General features: G+C 47.9%; 1 annotated feature.

Annotated features, from left to right (window-relative positions):
* Window positions 3,157–3,369: a silencer, noted in NCBI's record as "fragment chr2:175578156-175578368 (GRCh37/hg19 assembly coordinates)". NCBI's record gives its function as "represses an EF-1alpha promoter that drives an FKBP-Casp9 reporter gene in an ReSE screen in phorbol 12-myristate 13-acetate-treated (for megakaryocytic differentiation) K562 erythroleukemia cells {active_cell/tissue: K562(+PMA)}" and the evidence as "EXISTENCE:reporter gene assay evidence [ECO:0000049][PMID:32094911]".

Below are 8,905 nucleotides of genomic sequence, written 5' to 3'. Positions count from 1 at the left end.
AACACAATTATCTGTACAATAATATACAAACACAGATTCAGTTATAACCCCTAAAAATCTTGTGTTTTTAAATATAAAGACATTCTTAAAGGTTAATATTTAGTGAATGCTATAAAACCTCAGCCAGGCACAGTGGCTCACACCTGTAACCCCAGCACCTTGAGAGGCTGAGGCTGGGAGAATTGCTTGAGGCCAAGAGTTCAAGACCAGCCTTGGCAACCTAGTGAGACCTTGTCTATACTAAAAGAATTAAAAAAAAAAATTAGCCGGGCATGGTGGCACACGCTTGGTCCCAGCTACTTGGAAGGCTGAGGTAAGCAGATCTCTTGGGCCTGGGAGGTCAAGGCTGCAATGAGCCATGGTCATGCCACTGCACTCCAGCCTGGGTAACAGAGCAAGACCCTGTCTCAAAAACAAACAAACAAAAAACCTCAATCATACCAACACAAATATTGACTTGAAAACATTATTACAGTTATACCATCTGAAACACGCCATTCACGAGTCTTTCTTTTTTATATTTCATAGCATGTAGAGTATAACCTAGAGGAACCTGATGACAGGCATTAAAATGCAAACTTTTATTTTTTCAAATGTATTAATTACTGAAGTTACTATTAATTTTAAAATGAGTGCACTGGACTTATTTACCTGTGAAGTCTTTATACTCAAGATACAAACTTATCTCCCAGTAAGGAAATGTCAAATTGCTAAGTACATTGACATATAAACCAATAGCAAACATACTCCTTGCTACAGCTAAACTTAATTTTTCTTAGAAAAACTATATCCAACCATTTGGCTCTGTAGTTAATGGAAATAAAAATTGATTATTCTTTTCCGTCTTATATTAGATAAAACTGTACTATTAGTAGCAGCAATAACAGTAAAACAAGTTTCCAAAACACATCGTGCTGCTAGACAAAGCTGAACTAATTAAAAATGAGGACTATAAAATTGAATAGAATGATATTACTACATTTAGCAATCCTTACTAGTGCTCACCATGTACCAGGTTTTACAAACGCAACTGATATAAGTTCCTTAGCAGCTCTAAGAGGGGTCCTATTACTGCCATCTTTTTTTCCTTTCTTTCTTTTTTTTTTTTTTAGACAAGCTCTTGCTGTGTCAGCCAGGCTGGAGTGCAGTGGCAGGATCATAGCTCACTGCAGCCTCAATCTCCTGGACTCAAGTGATCCTCCCAAGCAGCTAGGACTACAGGTGCATGCCACCACGCTTGGCTATTTTTTTTTTTTTTTTTTAGAGATGGGGTCTCACTATGTTGCTCAGGCTGATCTTGGACTCCTGGGCTCAAGTGATCCTCCCAGCTTAGCCTCCCAAAGTGCTGGGATTACAGGCGTGAGTCACCACACCCACCCCATCATTTTTTAAAATGCACAAGTGACCACGATTCTCAGGATTCTGCAGTTGTCTGCATCACCCACAGATCAAGTGCAAACTCCTAGACTAGACAGAGATGGCTCAGGAAGGAGACATCACCCCCTGGCCCACCTCACACCACTTTCCTTCCAGCTTCCCGTCCCAGCCCCTCAACACCCCCAGCCACACAGCCCTGTCCCACCTCCAGTTGCACCTCCTAAGACTCAGTCCAGGTTGACTCTTCCCCTGGAGCCCCCAGGGTCATGGAGACCAAGTCAGGCACCAGTTCTAGCTAGGGAGACAAAGGAAGGAGGGGTGCAGAGAGTCCAGTCCCCGTGAGGAAGGGATAGGGGCCAGCACACAGGAGGAGGAGCTGCCAGGCTGGGCACAAACCCAGAGGAAACTCAGTGAGGCCTGTGCACCCTCCTGCCTCCTCTCAGCCCTCCTTGCTGGACTCTTCTCTCCCCACTTCTCATTTACTGTACAATTTACTAACTTGTTTTCCACTGCCTTTCTCTCCCCATTAGAGTGCACACCCTGTAAGGGCAGGAATTTTGCCTGGTAAGAAAACTGCTGAAGCAAGGGTCCTGCCGTTGAGATTGAAGAGGCTCATAGGCCAGGCCCAGAAGAGGTGAGGCGGGGGGCAGTCAAAGAGAAGAATGCAGGGGTCCACCCCATACATAATTCAGGGTTGAGGGTCACCCAGTCTGTCACAGCTACTCAACTCTGCCACTGTAGCAAGAAAGCAGCCACAGATGATCTGTAACCAAATGATCAGGCCTATGTCCCAGCACAACTTTATTACAAAAGCAGGCAGTGGATGGGATTTGGCCCACAGGCAATTGTTTGCCCACTGAAATGCAGGTGACATTCAAGTAGAAAAGTTAGAAAACACCAGGAGAGGGGGCCGAATAAAAGGACGGAGGAGTACAGACTTTTTAAAGTATGCACAGAAACCTGAGAATGATGCCACAGAATAAGAAAACTACAATCCATCTCCCGTGTGGATATTTACCAGGCACGCGGGAACAGTTACAATGGCCAAGTGGAGACAAGGCCACAGTGTAAACCTTAGAAATCTGCATGTACGACTGACCTCAGTGCCTCAGGACCACACTTAATAAAGTCAACATCCACTCCAACTGAACAAGAGACACACACACATACATCTCAGCTCTATAACCAGCATCGTGACTATGAGTTAAAGGCTGGATGCGCTCTGTGGACCAGACAGGGGTGCTGAAGAGTGTTAATGTTACCGGATGGGACCTGCATTAGACAAGGAAACAAAAAGACATAAATTCATCCTTATTTGCCTTCATGAAAATTATTAGAAAAACTATTATGATATCAAATAGCTTCCCTTTATATCAATAACTGGGCAGAAAAGATAAAAATTAAGTCCCTTTCACAGGAGCCATAAAAACATAAAATACCCAGGAACAATCCTAACCTAAAAAGTATGTACAGCCAAGAAGAAAGTGACCTAACTTCACTGAGGGATACATATGATGACTGGAATAAATGCATGCCATGTTATGGGGCAGAAACAATTAACATTGCAAATTAAACTGCATCATAAATGCAATTTTAATCAGTCACAAGTTTTGGTCATGATATTTAGGAGCTGAAAAATAAGAGCATTTTGAAGAGGCCTGGGTAAGAAAGAGGCCAGTCCTAAACAACAGCCCGACCGACAGGAACCTGGTGGAGATGGCTAGGTTGTTTCTGCCTGTCTGGAACCCATGGCCCTCCTGGCAATGAGATTCTCCTTCTGAGAACTCTCCTTACTTGTTCCATCCTCTCGGCTTCTGGATAGCCCTCCCTCAGACTCCAGGATGAATGAGGACCACAGGCTACTGGCACCTTCCTTCCACCTGACCACAGGATGAGCACTGAACTCAAGCAGGCCCAGTGAGAGGCACCTTGGGACAGAGTTGCTGTGGGTGCTGGGCTGTGGTGCCCCAGCCTGGAGTTGCCAGTAGCCCTCTTGGCACCTCAGGAGAGCATGCTTGAAAACAAGGCCAGCCCCGAGAGGTAAGGTGGGCCGACCTCCAAGATGGCCCCAAGCATCCTGCCTTCATGAGCTCATGGCCTTGCCTGACCCCTCCTTGTGTCTTACTGACTTGCGACTAACCCCCAGAGTCTGCTAAAGGTGAGATTAGGTCGTGAGAGACTGTGAAAATAGAAATTTTCTCTCTCTCTCTGTCTCTCGCCCCTACCCCCAACCCCTGGTTCTCACAAGCTGCCCTATGTCTCACAAGCTGCCCTATGGAAAGGCCCTTGCAGCGAGGACCTGGGGCAGCTCCAGCCAACAGCCCATGAGAGACCAAATACCCCCAGGAACCAGGCCAGTGAGAAAAAGGGGCCCTGCCTGGTGGTATCTGAGGTGAACACATCCCAGCTGACACCCTCCCTGCAGCCTGTGACAGGCTCCTGGCTGGGGACCCAGCCTCCTAACTGACAGAATCTGAGGTGATAAATGTTGTTTCAAATTACTAAATTGTAGGGTAGAGAGACGCTGGGTGACCTGCCAGCCCAGCCCTTCTCAGTGACAAGCTCCAACACAGCCCCCACTTTAAGGAAGAGTCCACAGTGCTATTATGAAGCAATAAGATATGGCTGGACTGTGCAAAAAAGGTCATGTCTGGAGAGGATTTGAAGTAGAGCAAAGATTCATCACATAAACATATTCCAAGTGGATAAAAGAATAAAGTGGAAAAAATATGGCTAGCAATGCCGTGTCTGGCAATGGTAGGCCAGTGAGCTTTAGATAAAGGCTGCTGCTGAAAACAATTACAAAATAAATTAATAAATACATATATAGTAAATCTGCACTTAACATTGTCAATAGGTTCTTGGAAACTGCAACTGTCCACTGTATAACAAAACCAATTTTGCTACAGGCTAATTGATGTAAACAACAGTTAAGTTCCTATGGCCTATTTCTGGTCACAAAAACATCACCAAACTTCTAAATAAAGACCAAAACACTTCTAATATTAAACACTGAGATAAATGGGAGCTGCACATCCATTTAAGAAAGATTAATAAAAACAAACAAGAGGACTATTGACCACTTGTTTCAGTTAAGGGCCTCAGGCAGCAGAGCCCAGCAGGTATGGTTGGCTATGGTTTGTCCCCACCAAATCTCATGTTAGAATTTGATCCCCAGTGCTGGAGGTGGGGCCTGGTGGGAGGTGTCTGGTCATGGTGGTAGATCCCTCATGAATGGCTTGGTGCTGTCCGCATGGTAATGAGTGAATTCTCACTCTATTAGTTCCCACGATAATTCCACCCCCCACCACCAAAGGCTGGTTTTTAAAAAGAGCCTGATGCCTCCCCAACTTGCTTTCTCTCCACATGATCTGCACACACCAGCTCCCCTTCCGCCATAAGTGAAAGCCACCTGAGGCCCTCACCAGAAGCAGAAGCTGGCACCACCACACTTCTTGTACAGTCTGCAGAACCATGAGCCAATTAACCCTTTCTTTATAAATTACCCAGCCTCAGGCATTTCTTTATAGCAACACAGACTAAGACACCATCCCAGCAGCTCAGGTCGCAAGATGAGAACCAGCCCTGGACCAGATGCCAACCCATCACAGGGCACACTCGCACACACCCACACACACACTCAGGCGGTGACCATGTGGACATGTCCATCTTTGGGATGTGGGAGGAAGCTGATGTATACAGAGAAAACCCACATAGACAAGGGGAACATGCAAACTCCACACAGACAGTGGCCCCCATCAGAAATCAATTAGTTTTTTCTCATCAACGTTATAGCAAGATGACATTATTCAAGTACCTGCTGTACATTTAAATCTGTGTAAGGGGATCAGGGCACTCCTAAGGTAGGGAGAAGTAAATAGCCAAGACCCACTTCTAGTAGGGAACGGAGGCTTATGAGCCTGGCTGCTCTTCCACCCCCAGAGCTCGCCAACTCCAAACCAGCAGCTGAGGGGCTGATAAACAGAGATTACTCACAGGGCTGGGAAAACCAGACCTCTAATGGCTGAAAAATGCCTGAGAACCAGTTCTCACAGAGGCCCAGGCCTGTGATGAGCGCCCTCTTTTTTATTTTTTGGCACAGTCTTGCTCTGTCACCCAGGCTGATCTCACCTCACTGCCACCTCTGCCTCCCGAGTTCAAGCAATTCTCCTGACTCAGCCTCCTGAGTAGTCGGGATTACAGGCACGAGCCACCACGCCTGGCTAATTTTTGTATTTTTAGTAAAGATGGGGTTTGGCCATGTTGGCCAGGCTGGTCTCCAACTCCTAGCCTCAAGTGATCCACCCGCCTTGGCTTCCCAAAACGCTAGGATTACAGGTGTGAGCCACCTCACCTGGCCCCAATTTCTTCAAAGTCTTATATTTCACTCTTCTGAATCCAACAAAGTTTAGCCAGGGATAAGGCCAAGCATCTAAGGCAATACCTCCTTTAACCTTTACTGCCCCATGCAGAAGGTAGTCTTGTTATCTTCACTTTATGGATGAGTAACTGAGTCGCAGAAGTCTTTGCCTAAGGTCATAGCCCTAGGACATGGCAGAACTGAGACTTAAACCCGGGCCCTGAAATACTACTTGGAATCCCATGCCCCATGCAACCTCCTCCTCCACAAACAAGGCCTGTTTCTACTAATACGAAAAGCGTTCTTCCAGGAAAATGGCACACGCTGCCCCAGTGGCATGAAGGAGGAGCCCAAGCCTGGGGGCATGGAAGAAAAACTGTCCCCACAAGGAGGGGGGAAGATAACATTATTTTTAATATTGCAGAAGGTGTACATCCCCCTTATGATATTGTTCCTAATATCCGGGGGGGAGAGGATGATATCACCCCCAATATCGCAGCGGGTGTACACCTCTTCTGTGATATTGTTTCAAATATCTAAGCAGGGGGAAGTGACATTACTCCCAATATCACAGGGGGTGTATAACATTCCTGGGATATTATTCCTAATATCCAGGGGGTGAGAGGATGATCTTACTCCTAATATCGCAGTGGGGGTTCACCCACCCTATGATATTGTTCCTAATATCCAGGAATGATGGGATGATATTACTCCCAATATCGTAGAGGCTGTATACCCCTCCTGTGAAATTGTTCCTAATATCCAAGGGGAGAGAGGATGATATTACTCCCAATAGTGCAGGGGATGTACACCCCCGCTGTGATATTGTTCCTAATATCAAGGGAGGGAGAGGATGATAGTACTCTCAATATCGCTGAAGGTGTACACCTCCCCCGTGACATTGTTCCTAATATCCAGAGGGGAAGAGGATGATATTGAGAGATGACAGCGTGCTGGCAGCCCTCGCTTGCTCTCGGTGCCTCCTCGGCCTTGGGGCCCATTCTGGCCGAGCTTGAGGAGCCCTTCAGCCTGCCGCTGCACCCTGGGAGCCCTTCTCTGGGCTGGCTGAGGCCAGAGCCGGCTCCCTCGGCTTGCAGGGAGGTGTGGAGGGAGAGGCACGAGTGGGAACCGGGGCTGCACCCCGCGCTTGCGGGCCAGCTGGAGTTCTGGGCGGGCGTGGGCTTGACGGGACCCGCAGTTGGAGCAGCCAGCCAGCCCCGGGCAGTGAGGGGCTTAGCACCTGGGCCAGCCCCTGCGGAGGGTGCCCTGGGTCCCCCAGCAGCCCTGGCCCACCAGCGCTGCGCTCGATTTCGATTTCTCGCAGGGCCTTAGCTGCCTCCCTGCAGGGCAGGGCTCGGGACCTGCAGCCCGCCATGCTTGAGTGTCCCCCCTCCCCGCCCACCATGGGCTCCTATGTGGCCTGAGCCTCCCCGACAAGCGCCGCCCCCTGCTCTGCCCGGTCCCATCAACTGCCCAAGGGCTGAGGAGTGCGGGCGCAGGGCGCGGGACTGGCAGGCAGCTCCACCTGCGGCCCCGGTGCGAGATTCACTGGGTGAAGCCAGCTGGGCTCCTCAGTCTAGTGGGAACTTGGAGAACTTTTATGTCTAGCTAAGGGATTGTAAATACACCAATCAGCACTCTGTATCTAGCTCAAGGTTTGTAAACACACCAATCAGTACTCTGTATCTAGCTCAGGGTTTGTGGATGCACCAATGGGCACTCTGTGTCTAGCTGATCTGGTGGGGACTTGGAGAACCTTTATGTCTAGCTAAGGGATTATGCATATACCAATTGGCACTCTGTATCTAGCTCAAGGTTTGTAAATGCACCAAACAGCACTCTGTATCTAGCTCAAGGTTTGTAAATACACCAATCGACACTCTGTATCTAACTAATCTAGTGGGGACATGGAGAACTTTTGTGTCTAGCTCAGGGATTGTAAACGGACCAATCAGCTCTCTGTAAAATGGACCAATCAGCTCTCTGTAAAACAGACCGATCGGCTCTCTGTAAAATAGACCAATCAGCAGGATGTGGGTGGGTCCAGATAAGGGAATAAAAGCAGGCTGCCCCAGCTAGCAGTGGCAAACTGCTCAGGTTCCTTTGCACACTGCTGTTTTGGTGTTTGCAGTAAATCTTGCTGCTGGTCACTCTTTGGGTCCACACTGTCTGTATGAGCTGTAACACTAACTGAAAAGTCTGCAGTTTCACTCTTGAAGTCAGCGAGACCACGAACCCGCCGGGAGGAAGGAACAACTCCAGACGAGCCCCATTAAGAGCTGTAACACTCACTGGGAAGGTCTGCAGCTTCACTCCTGAGCCACCGAGACCACGAACCCACCAGAAGGAAGAAACTCCGAACACATCCGAACATCAGAAGCAACAAACTCTGAACACACTGCTTTTACGAACTGTGACGCTCACCGCGAGGGTCCACGGCTTCATTCTTGAAATCAGTGAGACCAAGAACCCGCCAATTCTGGAGACAACATTACTCCCAATATGTAGGAGTTGTACAACCCCCTGTGATATTGTTTCAAAATCCAGGGGATGAGAAGATGATGTTACTCCCAATATCACAGGGGGTGTACACCGTCACTGTGATATTGTTCCTAATATCTGGGGGGGAGGATATGATATTCCCAATATCGCAGGGGGTGTAACTCCTACTGTGATACAATTTCTAATAAACAGGTAAATAGGATATTACTCCCAATATCATGGGGTGTTTACACCCCCACTGTGATGATGTTCTTAATTTCTTCTTTTTTTTATTGTTCCTAATTTCAAGGTGGGGAAAGGATGATATTACTCCCAATACCGCTGCAGGTGTACACCCCCCCATATAATATTGCTTCTAAATCCAGGGAGTGAGAAGATATTACTCCCAATATCGTGCAGGGTGTACACCCCTCCCTCTGATATCGTTCCTAGTATTTAGGGAGGGAAATGATGATATTACTCCCAATATCGCACAAGGCATGCACATCCACTGAGGTATTGTCCCTAATATCCAGGGGGAAGAGGATCATCTTGCTCCCAATATTGCAGGGGGTGTACAACCCCCCCCGTGATATTGTTTCTAATATCCAGAAGGTGAAAGGACTATATTACTTTCAATATTGGATGGGATGTCCGCCCCCCCGCCCCCGCCCATGTTATTCTTCC

This window comes from Homo sapiens, chromosome 2 (assembly GCF_000001405.40).
Source record: "Homo sapiens chromosome 2, GRCh38.p14 Primary Assembly".
Lineage (NCBI taxonomy): Eukaryota > Metazoa > Chordata > Mammalia > Primates > Hominidae > Homo > Homo sapiens.
Note: the sequence above shows the minus strand (reverse complement) of the source record. Positions and strands in the feature narration are given on the sequence as shown.